General features: G+C 35.8%; 1 long non-coding RNA gene across 2 annotated transcripts in view; it reads right to left on the bottom strand.

The window, feature by feature from the left end:
- The window catches only part of LOC105374739 (uncharacterized), a 90060-nt gene that overhangs the window by 52359 nt on the left and 13936 nt on the right, over positions 1-23765 (bottom strand). The window lies entirely within an intron of this gene.

Genomic DNA, 23765 nt, shown 5'->3' with positions numbered 1-23765 from the left:
TTAAAAAGATACCCTGGAAAGACCTAGCCAGAGCAATCAGAGAAGAGAAAGAAATAAAGGGCATCCAAATTGGAAAAGCAGAAGTCAAACTGTCACTGTTCACTGATGATATGACTGTATATCTAGAAAACCCTAAAGACTCATCCAAAAAACTCTTAGATCTGATAAATGAATTCAGTAAAGTCTCAGGTTACAAAATCAATGTACACAAATCAGTAGCACTGCTATACATCAACAATGACCAAGCTGAGAATTAAATCAAGGACTCAGTCCCCTTTACAACAGCTGCACATATATATATGTGTGTGTGTGTGTGTGTGTGTGTGTGTGTGTAATATATATATATATAATATTTAGGAATATACTTAACCAAGGGGGTGAAAAATATCTATAAGGAAAACTTACAGATAAAACTTATAGAAAAAACAAAACCCTGCTGAAAGAAATCATAGACAACACAAACCAATGGAAACACATCCCATGCTCATGGATGGGAAGAATCAATATTGTGAAAATGACCATACCGCCCAAAGCAATCTACAGATTCCCTGTCACTTCCATCAAAATACCATCATCATTCACAAAACTGGAAAAGAAAATCCTAAAATTCATATGGAACCAAAAAGGAGCCTGCATGCCAAAGCAATACTAAGCAAAAAGAACAAAACTAGAGGCATCACATTACCTGACTATATGACAAGGATATCATTACCAAAACAGGATGGTACTGGTATTTAAAAAGGCACATAGACTGCCTGGGTGCGGTGGCTCAAGCCTGTAATCTCAGCACTTTGGGAGGCCGAGGTGGGTTGATCATGAAGTCAGGAGTTCGAGACCATTCTGGCTAACACCATGAAACCCCTTCTCTACTAAAAAATACAAAAAAAAATTAGCCAGGCATGGTGGCAGGCGCCTGTAGTCCCAGCTACTCGGGAGGCTGAGGCAGGAGAATGGCGTGAACCCAGGAGGTGGAGCTTGCAGTGAGCCGAGATCATGCCACTGCACTCCAGCCTGGGCAACAGAACAAGACTCTGTCTCAAAAAAAAAAAGTCATGTAGACCAATGGAATAGCATAGCAAACCCAGAAATAAAGCCGAATACTTACAGCCAACTGATCTTTGACAAAACATATAAAAACATAAATTGAGGAAGAGGCACCCTATTTAATAAATGGTGCTTGGAAAACTGGCAAGCCACGTGTAAAAGAATGAAACTGGATCCCCATCTCACCTTATACAAAAATCACCTCAAGATGGGTCAAAGACTTAAATCTAACACCTGAAACCATAACAATTCTAGAAGATAACATCAGAGAAACTGATCTGGACATTGGCTTAGGCAAAGGATTCATGACTAAGACACCAAAAGCAAATGCAACAAATACAAAAATAAATAAATGGGACCTAATTAAACTAAAAAGCTTCTGCAGAGCAAAAAAAAAAAAAAAAAAAAAAAAACAAATCTGTAGAGTAAGCAGACAACCCATACAGTAGGAGAAAATATTCGCAAACTACGCATTTGACAAAAGTCTAGTATTCAGAATCCACAAGGAACTCAAACAAATCAACAAGAAAAAAACAAATAATCTCATCAAAAAGTATGCAAAGGACGTGAATAGACATTTCTCAAAAGGAGGTATGCAAACAGCCAACAACATTTGCTCTTGGCCTTTTGGCTAAGATCAAGTGTACAAACAGCCAACAAACATGAAAAAGTGGTCAACATCACTAATCAGGGAAATGCAAATTAAAAACACAATGAGATACACCTAACTCCTGAAAGAATGGCCATAATTAAAATGTCAAAAAACAATAGATGTTGGCATGGATGTGATGCAAGTGGAACCCTTTTACACTGTTGGTGGGAATGTAAATTAGTACAACCACTATGGAAAAAACTATGGAGATTCCTTAAAGAACTAAAATTAAAACTACCATTTGATCAGCAATCCCACTACTTACTAATTATCTACCCATGGGAAAAGAAGTCATTATATGAAAAAGGCACATGCACATGCATGTTTATAGAAGCACAATTTGCAATTGCAAAGATATGGAACCATCTAAATTCTCATCAACCAACGGGCAGATAAAGAAAATGTGGTATATATACACCACAGAACACCAATCAGCCATAAAAAGGAACAAAATAATGTCTTTTGCAGCAACTCAGATGGAGCTGCAGCCCATTATTCTAAGTGAAGTAACTCAGGAATGAAAAACCACATATCATATGTTCTCACTTATAAGCGAAAGCTAAGCTATGAGGATGCAAAGGCACAATAATAATATAATAGACTTTGGGGACTTGGTTGGGGTAAGATTGGGAGGGGAGTGAGGAATAAAAGATTATACATTAGGTATAGTGTACACTGCTCAGGTGATGGGTGCACTAAAATCTCAGAAGTCATCACTAAAGAACTTATCCGTGTAACCAAAAATGACCTGTACCCCAAAAACTTTTGAAATTCTTTTAAAAATAAAATTTTTAAAAGATACTCTGCAACTTCATTATACAAGAATGGTATAATACTATATGTCAAACTTGAACGATTTATGCAATCATCTTACAGGAAAACATTCTTATAAACTACAGATATTTAAATTATTTTCATTATAGTGTTTAGTATATACTTTTTATATATATTGAATCACACTATGATATATTGTTCTGTGACTATTTTTTCACTTAATATGTTTGGAGTATTTTTCATGAAGGAATATGCAGAGAAGTCATATTTCTCTCTCTCTCTCTCTCTCTCTCTCTCTCTCTCTCTACTACATTCTTAGAAATTAAGAGGCAACCAACATTCAACATTTGGCTCTTATAAATCATGCAGTATTGAGCATCATTGAACATAAATTTTCATCCAGAAGTATCGCTAAGCATCAGATTTCTAGAAGTGGGATTTCTATATCAAGTGAGATGATATACAAATGGCAAATAAGCATACAAAGGGATGTTCCACATCATACATCATTAGGGAATAGCAAATTAAAACAACAGTGAGATACTGCTACACACCTTTTTGAATGGCTAAAATCCAAAACACTGAAAACATCAAATACCGACAAGGATATGAAACAATGGGAACTCTAATTCATTTACTGACGGAATCCAAAATGGTACAGCCAGTTTGGAAGACAGTCTGGCAGTTTCTTACAAAACTAAAGATCGTCTTACCATACAATCCAGCAATTATGTTCTTTAGTATTTGCCAAATGAGTTGAAAATGTATGTCCACACAAAAACCTGCACATGAATGTTTATAGGACTTTACTTATTATTGCCAAATCTTGTAAGCAATCAAGATGTCCTTCAATTGGTAAATGGATACAGAAACTGTAGTACATCCATACAATGGAATATTATTCACCAATAAAAAGAAAAGAGCTCAAGTCATGAAAAGACACAGAGCAGCCTTAAATGCATATTACTAAGTGAAATAAGCTAGTCTGAAACAGATACATAATATATGATTCCAACTATATGACACTGTGAGAAAAGCACAGCTATGGAGATAGTAAAAAGATCAGCTGTTGCCAGGGAATTAGGGGGAGAGAGGGATGATTAAGTAGATAGAGCACAGAGGATTTTTAGGGCAGTAAAATTATCTTCTATGGTACTGTAATGGCAGATACATGATATTATACATTTGTTAAAACCCATAAAACTATACAACACAAAGAGTGAATCCTAATATAAACTGTGCACTTTAGTTAATGATAATGTATTAATACTGGTTCACCAATTGTAACAAGTATACTACACGAATGAAAGATAATGATAACAGGAAACTGGTGAGAGGGAAAATTGTATGAGGACTCTGTACTTTCTACTCAATTTTTATGTAAATCTAAAACTGCTCTAAAAAATGCCCACTTTTCTATTCAACACCATGTTGGCTACTATATATATATTTTTTTACCTTTGTCAATCTGAGCACAGAAAGACATCAATTACTATTTGGGTTGCATACTATTTTTCAGAAAAACATTTAATACATACAAAAAGTAGTACTTATAAGTTATGGTCACATACTAACTTATTTTTCCATTTACATGCTATTAGAGAATAGCAACTATAATTGATGCTGCTTGGAAGAAGCAAAAATCTAAAAAGACCCTCAATAATCTGTCTGTTGTCAACTTCTTACTAAAGCTTCAATCAATAAATAATGGCACAAACAGAAGTTCCAAGCAGATTAAAGGATTAAATATATTTTTCATGATAGCTATAAAAAATATTGGAAATTAAGGGTGACAAATATTTTTAAGCATAAAATAAATGAAAAAATTACGAAGACAATGACCTTTTTTATTCCAAAAAATATATAATTTCTGCTGTTCAAAACAAATAAAAATCCCACCAAAATAAGAAGGTAAAGAACTGCCCAAATTGTTTTTGTGAACTTTCTAGGCTACAGCTCACCACTTTCTTTCTCATTGAGCTTACTGGATTCTAACCACTCTTAATACACAATATCAGAGAAAGGTGCTAATACTTTGGAGGAATATAAACTCACAACCCAAAATAATAATAAATTTAAGGAGTACAACTTCTTCCAAAAAAAATTAATCAACATATACCATTGGAAATGAAATAAATATAATAACAGTCCGAGAATTCTTAAATAAGTATGATAAATATACAAAAGGAAATTAAGAAATTATGAGTAGGAAATAAAAGTAATGAACTTTCTAAATTAATAATTAAAGTTAGAAATACTAGATCAGAAAAAGGTAAATTGAAAAAACACAATCAATGAGATAAATACTAAAATGAATACACCTGAACAAAGAATTAATGAATTCTTTCTAGCAATTCTAGAAATGTTCCTAATGGAATAGAAAGAAGAGAATAATGCAAAAATATAAAAAGAAAATTTAAGAAAAATGACAATAAGATTACAATTGCCAGCATGTGGATAATAAAACTTCCAGAAGAAGAAAAATATAAAAATAATGAGGAGGAGATACTTAGAAAATAATTGTTATCATCCTTCAGAGTCAAGTAAGATAAATACCTTCACATTGAAGGAATACAGAGAATACCCTACAGGAGAGATTAAAACTATATCTAGATGCAATATAGTAAATGTTAAGAACATAAAAAATAGGCCGGTTGAGGTGGCTCACACCTTTAATCCCAGCACTTTGGGAGGCTGAGGCAGGTGGATTACCTGAGGTCAGGAGTTCAAACCAGCCTGGCCAACATGGTGAAGCCCTGTTTCTACTAAACATACAAAAATTAGCGGGGTGTGGTGGTGCATACCTACAATCCCAGCTACTCGGGAGGCTGAGGCAGGAGAATCACTTGAACCTCGGAGGTGGAGGTTGCAGTGAGCCAAGATAGCCCCATTGCACTCCAGCCTGGGCAACAAGAGCCAAACTCCGTCCTGCCCCATCCCCCGCCCCAAAAAAAAGAATATAAAAAAAAAAGAAAAAATAAAGCTTCCGGGAAGGAAGAGCAAATTCCCTACAAAGGAAAAAGAATCTGTTTTAATCAGACCCTCAAATAGCATCAATGGATGCAAGAAGAAAATGAAAGAACAGTTTTAAAATGTCAACAGGAAAGAACTTAAACCTTGAATTGTATACCCAGACAAATTGTCACTCAGATGTAAGGGTTTAATGAAAATATTCCTAGACATAAAAGGCCTTAGAAGATTTGTCACAAAAAGTCCCTTATTGGATAGCTTTAGGAAAAGTACTCAAATTATTAATAGAAAGCAAATAAACACAGGAGATTCTGTGAGAGAAATTAAGGGTAATCAAACATATTCATTAATTTTATTGCTAAAAAATAAAGAAATAAATACCAAAAAATTACATATATCAAATAACCCATAAGAAGACATAACAAAAAAATCTAACTGTGAATGGTGGGGGCAGGTGAGAAAGAAACAAAGGGACAGGAGAGATGTTGATACTCTGTTTTCTAGCAAAAGACATGATTTCAGGATGAGGAGAAATTACTTAATGGCTACCGTGTACATTATTCAGGTGATAAATTAAAGCCTTGACTTCACCACTACTTAACGTATCCATGTAACAATATTACACTTGCACCCCATAATTTTGTTTTTTTTTTTAAAAAAAGAAATGTTAAAAGTAAAAGAATAGAAAACTATCATGCAAATAGAGATATGTATAGTTAACTTTTAAAAAAAATTATCATGGAGATGAGTTATTACATAATTATACAATGTTCAATTCACCGGGAAAATGTAGCACTTTAAAACATGTATGCATCAAATAAAGTAACCTTAATATAAATAAAGCAAAAGTTGATAACTTGTAGGGGGAATTTAGTAAATCATCTTTATAGTAGATGATTTTTATATATCTCAAAACTGTTGACAGGTGATGCAGAAAACAATTTAGAAGAGTTTTAGATGGTTTGAACACAACCAAAGTATCATCATGAACATATTCTTATGTGACTCACAGTCCAGAAAGTAATCTTGATGAGATCCTGGAGTTCATTTAGGGCATTTGCATACCAATGCTGTTGATAGCAATCAGAGATCTTGTGATTCTCCCTTCCCTGATATGTTAAAGTACAGTTCCCTACATAGCCACTCAAAAGGAAAGGGAGGAACTAAGCCCTCATGGCCATTTGACACAAAAGGTTTGTCCCTTCTCACATATATAGAAGTGTGCACTCAGCTAAAGTAAAGATTTTTCCAAACCATGCATACAACATTTACAAAATTTGACCATCTACTGAAACATATCAGTCCCCAACAAATTTTGATGAATAGATGACATAAAAAGTGTGTTCTGCAGCCATAATACATTTCAGATAGGAGCTAATAAAAAAATGATAAATTATGGATACCTGCATATTAGAAAATCTTTTAAAATATATTTTTAAATACCTCTTAGGTCAAGAAAGACACCATAATAAAAAATTTTAAGTACTTACAAATGAATGATAATCAAAACTGATATTATCAAAATTTCTGGGAGGCAGTGACAGTGGTGCTTCATATATAAGAATTATATTTTTAGATCACATACCTTTAAGGCTAGAGATTAAAGAGCTAAAACAACAGAATAAATCTAAAAGAAGTAAAAAGATCATAAAGATGAGAGAAGATACAAATGAAATTTTTTTCAATATATAATGGAATCAACCAAATCAAATTCACAATTCTAATTAAGTAGACAATATTTTTGGTATGAATGGTCATGGAGGGAAAACAGAGAGACAAGAAATAATATTTTAAATGAAAAATTGGAGCATAACTGTAAATACTGCAGAGACTGAAAAGAAAATAGAGGGAATACAATTTAATGCTAACAAATTTGAAAGCTTAAGAATAATTAATAAATGCCTTTAAAAATTTAACAAAACTGACTAAAGGAGATGTAGAAAGATTGCATTTTCCTATAACTAGTAAAGGATATAAATTAAAAATTTTAAAATTTCCTACAGAGGAAAAAGCAGGTCTAGATGGTCATACAGTTTATTCTAAACCAGTGGTTCCCTACCTTTTGGCAACAGGGACCAGTTTCATGGAAGACAATTTTTCCACAGGATGGAGCAGGGAGGGAAAGAATGGAGGGGATGAGCGGATGGTTTGGGGATGAAACTGTTCCACCTCAGATCATCAGGCATTAGATTCTCTTAAGGAGCAAACAACCTAGATCCCTCCATGTGCAGTTCACAATAAGGCTCCCGCTCCTATGAGAATCTAATGCTCCTGCTGATCTGACAGGAGGTGGGGCTCAGGCGATAATTGTTACTTACCCGGGGCTCACCTCCTCCTCACTGGTTCATGGTCCAGGGGGCTGGGGACCCCTGTAATCTAAACAATTCTTCCAGAAAATAGTATTAGAGGAAACAGACTTCAATTCACTTGTCAAGTCTTTAACAATAAGAGAAGACAAGATACAGCATATAAAAGAAAAATTGCAAGCTCATTATATCCATGATAAATATAGATGTAAAAACTATAATGAAAATACTAGCAAACCTTACTCAAAAGTGTATGAAAATGTATCATCCCCAAATTGTTTATCCCAGAATTACAAGCTGAGTTAATATTAGAAAATCTATAAATACCATTTTCTATCTATATGAGTACATTGAGATCAATATTTTATTAAATTCAAAACCCATTCATGATAAAGCTCTGGCTCTTAGAAAACTAGAAATGGAAAGATAACTATTTTCTTTTAACCTACAACAAGCATGATCTTATGTGAGGAAACATTAAAGGAGTTGCTATATGAGATCAAATGGTTTTATAAGTGTTTGGCAAGTTCCTCCTTCACTTGCTTCTCCTTGTGAAGAAGTTGCCTGCTTCCCCTTCACCTTCTGCCATGATTGTAATTTTCCTGAGGCCTCCACAGTCATGTGGAACTGTGAGTAAATTAAACATCTTTTGTTTATAAATTACCCAGTCTCAGGTAGAATATTTACAGCAGTATGAGAATGGACTAATACAGCCCTTCATAATATAGAAAAAATCAATAAATATCCAAGAAAATGCAAATCAAATCGCAATGAAAAATAAATGTACTCCCATACTATTACGAAAAATAAAATCTGACAATACCAAGCGTAAGAGGATAGCTACTATTGGGTCCCTTTATGTATGGCTGATGGAGTGTAATTATCATAAACACTTTGGAACATACTGTAGTATTATACTGTATAGTTAAGCAGCCATATACTCTACAACTTAGCAATTCCACTTATAAGGGTATAACTAGGAGAAATTCCTGTACTTTTTGCTGGCAGACATGAGAAAAAGTCCATATTATTTCTAGGTTGTAATAGTGAAAAACTAGAAATAACCAAAGTGTCACAAAAATTCTCATTATAGAAAATATGGGTAAAAATAAAGAAGAAAATATAAGAATGTTATCTTCAGTATTTTTCCTATGTGTAAATACAATTTAATGGAATAATACTATAAATGCAGTTTTGTATTCTAACCTTTTGAGTTCACAAATGGGCTGATATTCAGCTAGAAGGCACAGTACAACCCTTTTAGTTTCCAAAATATCAAAATATTTCCACCGTGGTCAGAAATGGCTGTTGGCCCAAGTCTTCTCATTTGCCCCTAGGAAACTTGCCTCAGCTCCACTCCTGGACTTCCTTACATTTCAACCACTAGAGGAATATTTCTGACACTGTCAGAGGGTTCCAGATCTCTACTTCAGCATAATGGTCAGAATCCCATCTGATAAGTTGCACCTGTACCATACAGGTACACTATGCCCATGTAATGCATTTTTTAAATTATCACAATGCCTGTGTCATGGATATGCCATAAGTGATTCAATTATGTTCTTATTATTGCACAATTAAGGTCTTAAATATATTTTCATTTTATAAACATCACTGTTATTGGTATCCTTGTTTCATTGTTTGTGAAATTGCAACTAGGTCACAAAAGGATGAATACTGCTAAAGCACTTGGTATATGCTGCCTAATCTCAACAATACTTTTAAAACATGGCATTTGTTTGACTTGAAAAGTACTCTGTAAAGCAAAGGAACCTCCAAGTCCAAAAGGTCCTGAAAATGGAAGAGCACTCCACTATAAGAATTTTCACAACTAAAAGAAATATGTACTGGAATTTAACATTAAAAAAACTTTCTTGTTAGATATTATTTCTTTCATTTGATACTCAAAACAGTTCTGTAGAAGTGGTAAGACAGATATTTCCATTGGTAACTTGCTCAAAACCAATCAATTAAGAATTTATCCAGTGAAGACTAAAATGAATCTTCTAAATCCACGTGCATTTTCCCTATTCCATAGCTTTCAATTTGATTTAATATTGTATATGCACATTAGTTAATAGTAACCCTTTTCAAGTGAGTGTCACTAGAGGTTTATTCTCATCTTTCAATTTAACTCTGACATTGCAGAAACAGCCGTTAGGAGCTAGTACTGACTTTATCCAGATTATACCCACAATATCCTCAAAGCTGTGTGACCTCTATTCCATGCTCATAAATGCACTCCAGTTGCTGATGAGTTTAGACAAAATGTCATGGTTTATTTTTATCTCTGACATAAGAGTTATTATATCACTCCCACTCAACTTGTAGAAAATAAATAAAAATTGAGGTGCTCTAGGAAAGGAAAATATCTTGAATAGTCCTAAGGAACCCAATAGAGGGTATATTTATTCCCAGAATTATTTGTTTCATTTTGAGTGGAAAACTCATTTGGTCTCATCCTTCCATTCTGCCTCATCTACACAAATTGGCATCCTTTGCAAAGCCTATATTCTTCTGCAATAAAAATATTCCTGATTTTTTTTTTGTTTGGGGGGAATTTGATGCATCCCTTGACAAAAAATCTGTTTCCATCCAGTTTTGTAATGTCAATTTAGTTTTAAACACATCCCCTTATGCACTCCCAGGGTGCAGCATAGCTCTCTGTTACTTTAGACTTCAATCTGCTGCAGGTTCAGAAAATTCTGTGGTTTGTCTATGGTTCATGTTTACTTTTAGAGTTATATGACTTCCATTAGAAATCACAAATCTATCTTAACTCAGTTTAGACTCATGTTCTGACAAAAATGTTTATGCCAGGAGAGTTTCAATAAGCAGGTTTTGAAAGATAATTGAAGCAACTAATTTCCTAGGGAGGCATGATAGCCTTAGAATATGTTCATCTGCACCTCTCTGGTAGAATTTAAAGAGTCCTAGGTATTTGATTCATGTCACCAAACAATGTTAGGTGATGATTTATTTAAAGATAGAGATTATTAAATGAGTCTGATAAATAAAGAACAACCCCATGAAGAAAGATGAAAAGACAATTGAAAGAAAAAATGTTTGCAGAGGGAGAGACCTGCCATTCGTTAAGTGCCTGCTAGGTTCTAAATACTTCATTCAATCATAAAAAGTACAATCCTCATTTTAGAGATGACAAAACTGATCGTATAAATAGCAGAGCCAAAATGTGAATCGAGGTCTGTTTGTTACAAAACCACTGATCTTTTCAGTTTTGTGTACTACAGTGCGTATGTTGAATAAGCATGTGATCTGGCCTCAGTGGTAGGTTGCATTAATGCTCCCAGCTCTTCACTGCTTCCTGTGAAGATGCCCTTTGCCATGTAACTTCATAGGGCCCTGTCATTGTGGAAAGAGGTACCCTCATATCTCAATTCTAGTTCCAACATGTGACTTACTTTGGCCAACGGGATATTAATAGGCATTATGTGAGCAGTGGCTTGAAGAGCATCTGCATGATTGAACTTGTGCAACAGGGCAAGTCCAATCATGCAAATAAGCAACAGCACCATGGGAAAGACTCACTGGTCCAGAGAGAGGATGAAAAACACGTGAATCAAATCCACCCAGCTTGCACCAGGTGAGCCCAGTGAGTTGCAGGCACATGAGTGAACATAGCCATGACCACCAGAACCATCCAGCCACACCACTCCCAGTTCAGCCACTTTGGTCAACCTACAGATCTTTGAAAATAAATGCTATTGTTTCAAGCCACTGAGTTTTGACATGATTTGTTATCAACAATTTTGTGGCAATCGCTGATGTGTATACCTCCTTACACCTATACTGCAGGCACAAGGAATTAGGTTGTGATGCATGTTTTTCTTTTCTGTTTAATCCTACAGGTTGCAAAACTTACGAAAGATTGAATATTGTCTCTATACACAGTTTAGGAAAATTTTTAAAAGAATTAATCCTAGAAGTGTTCCCTAAGAGTCTTTGAAATATTGAAATGGCCAGCCATAATACACAATTAAACAACTATGAAATAAAAAGTCCCATTTAAAGTTGATAAAGTTTTTTTAATCTTCCTAGTTTTTCTCATTATTGCCCTTGTACTAACACTCAGGGAATGCTTCTATTCCACATATTCTTTAGTGGCTGCAGCCCACCTCTTAGAATAGGTCTTTGTGGCTATATATCAAACTTTTACCCATACTTGGAGACTTAGCTCCAATTTTCTCTCTTTAATAAATATTGCTGTCAGCTAGTCTCCCTTTCTATCCTAATGACTTGTCACTAGCCAAAAATAATCTCTGTCACAGTTTTTCCATGGCAATTTATCTGCCCCTTTTTATAGCCTCTTAATGCTTTTCAGTAGAGTTTTGAGGTATTTTTGTGCATTCTAACCCATCTGCTATACAGTAGGTCACAAGCTGAACTGCCTCCAGAAGCCAGGATGAAAATGATGATTAAATAGAGCTGGCAAATGGCAATCAAGGGTGGTGGGGGTTCTAGTGAAACAAAAGAGCATTTCCCATCAGAAGGGAGAAAACTGCACTTGGGTCCACCTAGTTTTTGTCAACAGGAGAACATAACATCAGAGTTGACAAATCTTCCAATTTTTAAGAAGATTAAAAAATTCACATTTTTATGTAAAATTTCCCAACTTTATGTGAATATATTCATCTTAAGATATTGCTATGGTAGATTTCATTACTGTTTTGATTTTGTTCTATCCCTGTTATAAAATTACATACCCACTTTCTTGGGGCAGAGTGCAATACACTGCCCCACTAAGAAAGGCATTCACTATACATTGTACTCCAAGTCTAACCAGAGTTTTAAATGTGCCACCATTAGTATCTGATCACAAAATGAGAGACACATGAAGCAGACCTGAACCCTGACCTGCAAGCAGAGTCACCCCAGGTGACCTGAAGACACAGGAGCAAAAAAGTTAAATATGTGTTGTGTGCCATTGAGATTTCCAGGGCTGTACTGTAACACAACATTTTTGTGTCTAGAATCTGACTTTTAAAATTGGCCAAACATTTTAAGAGAAAAGTTAAAGCACAAAACATTCTGGTAACAAAGTTTCACTCACAGCCTCTAGGTCTCAACCTCCATTACTTTTTGGGAGCTTTTTGAAGTGTGAAACAGGTTCGCTGTGCACTGCTTACCAACTCAATTGAGGCTGATGAGACAGAATACACTCACATGTAACAAGTTACATAAAGCAGCTTTATTACTTACAGATAGACTACAAGAGAAAACAGAAGCCTAGGATTTCCCCAAGGCTCAGAAAAGCTGCCCAGAGCAGATGGATTCTCAACTGCACATGCCCCAGTTGTACCACAGATAACTGACCCCAAAAAACAGCCTGCCCCGGGTTTTATACACCAAGGTCGTGGAGCTCTCTGGGCTAAATCATTGAAGGATATCTTGTTTCCAGCGGGAGACTGGAACAGAGCCTAGGCTAATCTGGCCAGCTTCTCCTCATCTCAGGATCTTACATCTTCAGCACATTCTGCAGTTATTTTTGAGAACTACAAGCAAGAAAGTGGGGAGATATGGGTTGGTCCAAGGACACCTGGAGAACTGTCCTACATGAGAGGCATTCATAGTGAGTGTACTTCTATTTAATTTCCTTCTCATCTTTGCAATATCAAACATTCTGTCCATTACAGAAAAAAAAATTAATGTTTTACCTAAGAACTGCCACTTTACATCAAATCTATTCTTTTGAAAGATAAAAAACATATTTTGCAGAGTCAGATTACGGGCAGATCAATCTTAAAACGATGCTGAGTCATCACTAGAGTAAACTAACTTGAGTTTCCACACACTATTACATACATAAACCCTACAAAAGTAAATAGCACCCTTGAAGGGAAATTTGGTAAGCCTCCTCTTCATCACTGTCTTACCTCTATTGAGTATTCTGAGACAAGTAGGAGCTATCTCATTTAGCAACAAGCTGACAATTCAAAGTTGGCTGCAGTACTAATCCTGGATAACTAAAAACGTTATTCATAAAGAAGTTTATTTCTCTCTCTAGGGGTTTTGTTTGGCTGTTCTGGTTGGTACACGGACTCAGCAGTGTCAGAGACAGGTCTTCTACAGTACTTTTCTGCCATCCTAAATGACACCATTATTCTTAAGTCAAAATGACTCACTACAATATCCACATTCCAGTCCACAAGGAGGTGAAAGGAAGCAGAGGTTGGCCTCCTTTACTTGAATAGGCATGACCTTGAGGTTGTACACAATGCCTCTGCTCACATCCTAAAGGCCAGAGCATTGTCACATGGTTCCTTGATGGCAAGGAAGGCTGGGAAATGTAGTTTTTAAGGAAATGTTGCCGCCTAGCTAAAGCTTTTCAATTGCTATTGAAGGAGAGAATATGTATTTAAGAGACAGTTAACAGTCTCTGTGTAACATTCAGATAAACATTTTGACAACTTTTTAAACATTCGTTCTGCTTTGGTCAGTGCATGTTAATTCATAAGTAGATCTGTCTTTATGTACATTTCTTTAATACAAATCACTTTTCTCCCTTACTTCCACTAAATAAATATGAGGAAAGAGGTTTTAAGAAATATATTTAAAATAGGACCATAATTTTAGTCTGCCTGAAATGGCCAGAGGATTTTTCTTGCTACCACAGGATCAATATTGGGTAAACTTCATTTTGAAATAAAAAATGTATGACTTTCATAAATGATACTCAGGCAAGTGAATTGTATTTATTCACTACATGGTTAGTGGTCATCTATTTATTGAAGGACAGCCATGGGCAAGTCATTTTGTGAGGCAGAGGGCATACAGATACATAGCAAAATGCACGTGATCCTTGTCTTCATGATATCAACCACATAAGCAAAAATAGAAACATGATTACAAATGGAAGTAAGTGCAATTAAAGTTGATTCAGAGTGCTTGGTACTATGTAGGCAATGGGGATATGAAGATAAATGAGCCCTCAGAGACCACAAAAAGCTTCTCCTTTTGCACTCCAGCATTGACTCTAGCTCTCTGTGTGTATCTTTTGCATTGAGGGGAGACCTAAGGGATTCCCAAAAAATATGCCACTCAGAAAGTTAGCTTATTAGCTTCCAGACACCACAGAGCTACACCTGTTAAGAGTGATGTATTAATATAGCAATTAATTTTTACTCTAATATAGTTTTCTTCAAAAAAAATGCTGAGTAGCCTGTATGAATAATAGAAAACAGCTCAAGGATGTGTTTGTTCCAAACCACGCTCTCTGTTTCTCTCCTGGAAGTCTTGTTGAACTGCCAAAATGATAATGGACTTCATTAAAAGTACTCCAACAATCAGTGCTCTGCAGAAATGAAGGAGTATGCTGGGAAATTGCCATTGCTGTGCCAAGATTCTGGGTCTAAAAAAAGAAACAGGTTTTCCTTTACAGGAGAGTAATGTACAAAATGAAGTAGCAGCTCTAGATTATATGTTATCAAGGACTTTTTAGAGAACTATGGTTTCTGTTTTTAGGGTTTTTCATTGTACACACTAATATTTTTCTATTTTATTATCAATATCTTATGACTACTACTCTTACAAAATGCCACTCTATACCCCCTGCCTCCTGGAATAGTTGCCTCTTTCCGCACTGTTGCCTCTGCCATGACACCCATGGGCTCCAGGATGATGTTCACTCAATTCTCATCTCTGCCTTTAAGCCCACACAAGCGTCTTGCTCCTGCTCTCCTCCTCAGTGTTCAGCAAAATCACATGACTTAAACAACCAAGAATTCCATGTTCTAACACACAATGAGCACCTGCTGGCCTCAGTAAGGATAGTAGGAACGGGGATTATCCCTGAAGTCAGGAGAACTTGGACAGTTTGCCAGGCCTCTGGGAACTTTGGTCTCCACAATAGTAAAACATAGTTAAGAATGACTGACCTCCTTTACCTTGTGAGGTTTTAATGAGATGAAGTATATGAAAGCACTTTGAAGATGACAGCATATGCTATATAAGCCAAAGGAATGAGGATCAGGGTATTCCCTAAACACACTGGATATAGGATGTTTTAAAGATCCTGAAAATCTTGCTGTCTTTATGACTTCACCCCTCCCCCAAATCTCAATATAAACCAGCTTATCGTAATACCTGCAATTTTCACTGTTACTGTTGTTGTTTTAGATTGGAATTTAGGTCTTCAAAAGTTTCTCTGAAAATACACATCTACCCGGTATTAGTAACAACTGAAACTGGAGGGCAGATACAGAGAAAATTGTATCAGATTATTTCATTTTGGTCTTGCCATATGGAATATTGGATACCTTAGAAAATGGGACAACATGGGGAAAGCTGGACTGAATAAAGAAGTCTAGTTTAACTGAAGATACAGTATGTGTTCAATAAATACTTTCCATGGAAGCTTATCGTGTGAAGTTTTTATTAGGTGTGCAAAAGAAAGAGTTGGCATAAAGGGGGGAACAACATTTAAATTCTTCTCTTGGTGGGACCTTTCCTCTCTTTTTCGAGTACTTCATATTCAAGGACAAATACAAAACAGAAGCAAGAGACTCTAAGAATTATCCAGGGGTGTTCAAAACTTAGAAGGCAGTGAGGCACGCAAGCATGAAAGACCACAGGACTGTGAGGACAATGCTTGAAGGAAGGACTTAGAAAAAGAACAATATGTCAGTGTTGCAAGGGGGTCATTGATAACAGATAAAAGGGATAAAGCTGGGTGATTCAATCTTAAGTGGCTTCCAACCTCTCCATGAATGAGAATTACTTTTGAAGGAAAAGTTAAAAGAAGCAAAATTAGGCAAGACAGATGAGAGTAGTGAGCAAGTGCCTAGCCAAGTTAACGGAAGTCAAAGCTTCAATTGGAGTTAAATCACATTTAACTTAACTCCTATTTGGGATTTCTTGGGCTTCATGGATCTGGATGTTCATTTTCTTTAGATCTGGGGATCTTTATTTAAACAGCTTCTGCCTCCTTTCTTTTTCTCTGCTTCTTCTGCAACACCCATAATACGTATATTGGTTCATTTGCTGGTGTCCCATCACAGGCTTTCCTTATTCTTTTCAATTTTTTCTTTTTATTTCTCTGAGTAATTTCAAATTCTTATGCTTTATCAAGTCTGCTGTTGAAGCTATGAAATTTTTTGTTTCATGCATTGTATTCTTTGGTTCTAAAATTTCTGCTTTGTTTTTTGTGATTTATATCTCTTTATTGTACTTCTCATTTGTGTTTTGCTTTTCTGATTTTATTTAGTTGCTTATCTGTGTTCTCTTATATCTCACTAAAATGATTATTTTGAATTATTTATCAGGTAGTTCACGCATTTCCATTTTTAAGGTTACTGGAGCTTCATTTTATTCCTTTGGTGATATAATGTTTCCCTGATTATTTCTGATCTTTGTGGCCATGCATTGGTGTCTGCACATTTGAAGAAGCTGGTACTTATTCTGGTCTTTACAGATTGGCTTTGGTCAGCAAAGCCCTTCTTCAGTCAGCTCATTCAGAGATCATGAGTAGGCTTGCTGTTGGAGCCTTCAGGCAGGCAGGACTGGTGCCTAAGTCTGCAAGGGATAATGATGTGCCTGGATTTGTGAGGCCCAGTCTGGAGTCTGAGTCTGTAGGTGTGGCCTGGAGCCTGAGGCCGCTGGGTCTGGTCTAGCATTGGAGAAGACCTGGAAGCTCAATTCACAAGTGCCAATCTAAAACCTGAAGCCTTGAGCACAAGGCTGGCACTCAGTTTTATTGGGGCAGGCCTGGTGGTCAGGTCCACAACAAAGTCTGGTGCTCACTTCACTCTCCTACTCAGAAGCAGAGTATATCTTTCTCTGTGCTGTGCTAGCTAGGCTGTGGGAAAGGGTGCCATGTGTAATTTGAAACTGTCATTCCTAATCTCTTCAATGATTTTTTTGTTCTTATTTCTGTATTATACCCAGGTGCTATAATCTCTCACCTAAATTCCTTAGCTCTTATGAAGGTATTTTTGCACACTGAGTTTTTCAAACTGATGTTTCTGCAAAGGGATGAGCACAAACAATCCTATTCTACCATCTTGCTGACATCACTAGGCTACGTTTTTTTAATTATTATTATACTTTAAGTTCTGGGGTAAATGTGCAGAACGTGCAGGTTTGTTACATAGGTATACATGTGCCATGGTGGTTTGCTGCACCCATCAACCCATCATCTGCATTAGGTATTTCTCCTAATGCTATCCCTCCCCCAGCCACCCACCCCTGACAGGCCCCAGTGTGTGATGTTCCCCTCCCTGTGTCCATGTGTTCTCATTGTTCAACTCCCACTTATGAATGAGAACATGCAGTGTTTGGTTTTCTGTTCTTGTGTTAGTTGGCTGAGAATGATGGTTTCCAGCTTCATCCATGTCCCTGCAAAGGACATAAACTCATCCTTTTTTATGGCTGCATGGTATTCCATGGTGTATATGTGCCACATTTTCTTTATCCAGTCTATCGCTGATGGACATTTGGGTTGGTTCCAAGTCTTCGCTACTGTGAATAGTGCCGCAATAAACATATGTGTGCATGTGTCTTTATAGTAGAATGATTTATAATCCTTTGGGTATATACCCAGTAATGGGATTGCTGGGTTAAATGGTATTTCTGGTTCTAGAACCTTGAGGAATTGCCACACTGTCTTCCACAATGGTTGAACTAACTTACACTCCCACCAACAGTGTAAAAGAGTTCCTATTTCTCCACATCCTTTCCAACAACTGTTGTTTCCTGACTTTTTAATGATCGCCATTCTGACTGGCATGATATGGCATCCCATTGTGGTTTTGATTTGCATTTTTCTAATGACCAGTGATGATGAGCTTTTTTTCATATGTTTGTAGGCCACATAAATGTCTTCTTTTGAGAAGTGTCTGTTCATATCCTTCACCCACTTTTTGATGGGTTGATTTTAATTGGATTTAAAATCTCTTTCACTCAAATATAAATTAAGGAGGGTCTTATATTTTGGCAGTTCAAGTAAAAAAATCTATGAGTTAATTTGAGCATAGAAACACAATGCAATTGAACTGCAAAGTTTAAAACCTTACATCTTAGGCTAAACTAAGAGAAATTTGATGTTCGTATCAGTATGAAATATTCTGATCAGTTATTGATAACATAGAGGGGCCTCTAAACACTATCAATCATTCAGAGAAAGTGAGAAAGACAGTAAGAGAGTTGGAAATCAAATTATTAAAGGAACTATTAAGAGATCATTTAGAAACTTTTTCCCTAGAAAATAAAAAATCTTTGAGGTGTAGAGCATTTCTGAAAATCTTTTTAAATATTTTAAATACCACTATACAGAAGAGAGAACATAAATTTTTCCTACTACAAAGAACAGAAGTATGGCCAAAGATATGATTTTCAAAATTAAAGAAATTGTCTCATAAGGTTGAACTTTCTAGTAATTTGAGTTGCGTCAAAATGGAATAGTCTTCCTGTGTACAAGTAGCAAAGTCTCTGTCCCTGGAAGTTTTTAGCATAAGCCCAGTCACCATCTGCTAAGAACAGGATGGGGATTAGGGGAAGGAGAAGGGAGTCTATAGTAGGAAAGAGGTTCTCTTGTATGAGCATCTAATTTTAGATTGAAAAATCCTCCAATTTTAAGGTCCTTTCATCCATACATATTACTCCATATACCAAAAAAAAAAGAGAGAGATTTCCTAGTAATTAGCCTGGTGATATTCCTGCAGTGGAGAAAGTTATATCCAACAATGAAGTCAGCACAAATTGAAACAAAATGGCCCCTGTGAGAATTGCTAATTCAATACCTAAATAAAACTGTATACATTTAAAAGTGCATAGTACTTATTTAATAAATTTTAAGTGATATTTCTTGACAGACAAGATAAATATTTAAGTGCCAACTTTACAACCACAAATCTGTCTAAATACCATAACTGTACAATGAGATACTTTGCCAATTTATAATGCAAATAAGGTATACAGACTTACATCCATGCGTGCTTTTTAAGGAATTCCTTCTTAGATTGTATCAATTTGTCTTTATAAGTGTTTATAGCTGAATTGTACAGTATTGATGTCTTTAAACTTACTTTTTTCTTTTCCTTGATACTGCTTTTTTTCTCATACTATGATTATTTCATTGCATCAAAAACTAATATGTTCCAAATAGCACAACTAAATTATTTAGATTGTATTGATGATTCAATTTGACAATGAGGGAGAAATTTTTTCACTCTTTACATAGAAATCAAATTAATAAAGTCCCAATTAAAATATATATATTTAAAGAGATTTAAGAGACATATTGGCCAGGTGCAGTGGCTCACGCCTGTAATCCCAGCACTTTGGGAGGCCGAGGTGGGTGGATCACGAGGTCAGGAGATCAAGACCATCCTGGCTAACACGGTGAAACCCCGTCTCTACTAAAAAATACAAAAAATTAGCCAGGCGTGGTGGTGGGCACCTGTAGTCTCAGCTACTCGGGAGGCTGAGGCAGGAGAATGGTGTGAACCCAGGAGGCAGAGCTTGCAGTGAGCTGAGATCACGCCACTGCACTCCAGCCTGGGCAACAGAGCGAGACTCCATCTCAAAAAAAAAAAAAAAAAAAAGGAGACATATCAACTAATTGCAATAGATGAGTCATAACTTGATCTTATTTAAACAAACTCTAAATATAATGATACTATGAGAAAATTGAGCTCTGACTAGGTCTTATTTTTTCTTGGCATACTCTTTTGAACCCTTACCTTTTAGGAAAAAAAATGTACAATATTTAGGAATGAATTATATAATATCTGGTATTTGCTTCAAAATAATACACGAATGAAGTAAATAGGGATAGAAATAAAACGTGATGAGCAATAACTTGATAATTATTAAAACTAGGATGTAAACATATACAATCATTCATTATACAATTATCTCTATTTTATATATGTCTGATAATTTTCATATTTTAAAAATAAAGTCCAATCTCAGTTAGACATTTGTCTCCCAAAGTCCTCAACCAGCAACCATCGAACTTTCTCATTTCACTGCATTTTTTTCCAAACTCCTATATTTTCCCAAATAATTCCGCTCTCACCTCACACTTATAATCCTCAAAAAGAAAAACAAAAGTCTTGTTACTAACCAGCCCCAGCCTGGAAAGAGCACATTAAAGATTATCATTAATAATTATGCTTAGAGCCTATCCCTTGATATCTTGCTTCTCACACTAAAACATATGTTTCATCAGCTAGCCTATGTGTGGTTCTCCTTGTATATCATTACACTAGGATTTTTTAAACAAAGAAAATGTGTTACCAAAAATTTTATTATCAAAACAGCATCAAAGTTATTGTGTGTGTGTATGCATGCACATACTCGCAGGTATACATGAATATATGCATCTGTACATCTTTGATCAAGAAGCCCAAAAGCTTAAATAAGAGTTGAAAAAATGAATACCTTTGAGAGCTTCTGAATTAAATAAAATGATAATTCAACATGGAGTAAAACTAATAAATTAGGACAATAATATAAAGTATAGTCTCTATTTGAATTTATCTTTTATAACCCAAACTAATTTTATCATCCTGCCTCTACTCTCATTCACTGTTCATGATTTACATATGGAAGACTGACTAACAGAAGAAAAATGTTATCAAACATGGGAAGTAAGTGGCTACTTCTGGCTCCCACAGATCTTTAGTCATAGTTCCAGATTTAGGCTTGTGGCAATCTTACGTATCCTTAAACGTTGGGAACATGACAGAATTATTATTCTAATAGATACCATAGATGCTCTATTTGAAAGATATTCACAGTCCTTTTCTTCCTTACCTTCCTCTTTTGAGAAGCATTGAAACTACTAAAATACATGGTTTCCCAACCTACACTGCAGTGAAGAGTGGCTATGTGACCAAGTTCTTACCAACAATATGTGAATGAAATTCACTGTGAATGTCTTCTCTTTCCAAATTGAAAATGTAAACTCCCACATGAAGAAAGTTTTGTATTTTACCTTCTTCCTGCCTGGAATGCAAACATGAGCTCTGGATATGTAGCAGTTATCTTGTAACTAAAGGTCAAATAACATGCTAAAGATAGTAAAAAAGAAAAAGAGCATAGATCCATAATACATTACTGAAGAGCTGTTTTAGCCCAGGCTACCTGTCTCCAGGTGAGCTTTGTACAAGAAAACAAAAACATTATAGATTTAGGCAACTGTTGAGTGCTTTCTGAGTTTGTTTTTTGTTTGGGGGTTCATTATTTGGGGTTTTGGTGGGAGGGGAAGGGAAACATATTCCCAACTTATACGCTACTATTCCTGGGAGCAAAATAGGTAGCAGAAGTTCATAAGACTAGAACAGCATAAATACATATAAGAATCTTGGCAGACTTCTGATGCTGACAAAGATAAAGTAACAGGAACTGAATTTACCCTTCCACTGAAACAACTGAAAAAAAAAAGCAACCCAGATTCTTATAGTCTAAGAAATATCAGCTTTCAGACACTGGACACCATTGATGCAGGAATTGATCTCTGAGAGAGGGAAAAACTATGAGGTTAGCCCCAATGATTGCCCAAGCTTACTTTCTGGAGAAAGTTTCTAAGTTTCAGCACAGGAAAGAGAAACCAGAAGGAGGCTGGAGGTATCCTTGAGTTGGAGAGATGGAGCTGGGAGTCTGGGAATGGCAAAGTGGATACAGTTTAAGTGGAAGAATACTGGACAGGAGAGAGGTGCATACAGAGAAAACTCTGAAGATCTCCAGAGTGTTCCCCTCTAGAATTCAGTTGAGTACCTACTAGGATATGCATATAAGGAAAACTGAAGCTGGGAAACAAACCATGCAAAAAGAAAAGAATCAATAATCTCCAAAGTTCACACAGGTTTAGGAATAACTCATATTTTCAACCAGCCAGAGTGGAAAGCTTTATATTTCATGGGACATCAGATATACTCAAAAGAATATACCAAATTAGCCTTATATTAAGATTGTCTGGTCCCTACATTTTACAAAACTTACAAGCAAGCTTCGAAAGGATCAAATTGTTTCAAAATAACAAGTGAATCACAGAACAAAGCTCAAGAGTATCTAACACCCAACAAAATAAAATTCACAATATCTACTATCTAATGGAGGGAAAGCATTCAAAAAAGCAGAAAATACAATCAACAATAATAAGAAAAAACAAATGGAAGCATATTAAGAAATGACACAGATGATAGAATTAATAGACAAGAACATTAAAACAGTCTTTATAACTCTATTACAGATACTAAAGAAGCTAGAGGAAAAATTGATCCAATTAGATAGAGACACAAAAGGTATATATAAGGTCTCCAAATAAAACTTCTAGAAATGAAAACAATTGTGTGAAATAAAAAATACAGGCCAGTCACAATGGCTCACACCTGTAATCCCAGCACTTTGGGAGGCCAAGACAGATGGATCACTTGATGTCAGGAGTTTGAGACCAGTCTGGCCAACATGGTGAAACCCCGCCGCTACTAAAAATATAAAAATTAGCCAGGCATGGTGGTGGGCGCCTGTAATCCCAGCTACTGGGGAGGCTGAGGCAGGAGAATCGCTTGAACCCAGGAGGTGTAGGCTGCAGTGAGATGAGATGGCACCCCCGCACCCCAGCCTGGGCAACAGAGTGAGACTCCATCTGAGGACAGAAAAACAAAAAATACACCAGGTGGTACATCAGTTTAGACAATGCTGAAAGAAATATTGGAGACAAAGCAATAGAAAATATCCAAAATAAAATACAAAAGGATGAAAAATTAACAGAGCATCAGCGAGTTATAAGTCAACTTCAAGTGGCCTACTATACGTATCACTGGAGTCCCTGATGAAGTGAAGCAGAAGAAAGAAGAGGAGATAAAAATAAAATTGGAAACATACTGGCTAAAATATTTCCAAATTTGATAAAAATTATAAATTAACATATTCAAGCAACTTACTAAACTTCAAACAAAAGAAACATGAAGAAAAGTACACCAAGCTGCAACATAACCAAATTGCTTAAAATAAGTGATAAAAAGAACCTTAAAACTCAGCTAGAACAAAAACTA

This window comes from Homo sapiens, chromosome 5 (genome assembly GCF_000001405.40).
Source record: "Homo sapiens chromosome 5, GRCh38.p14 Primary Assembly".
Taxonomy (NCBI): Eukaryota; Metazoa; Chordata; class Mammalia; order Primates; family Hominidae; genus Homo; species Homo sapiens.
Note: the sequence above shows the minus strand (reverse complement) of the source record. Positions and strands in the feature narration are given on the sequence as shown.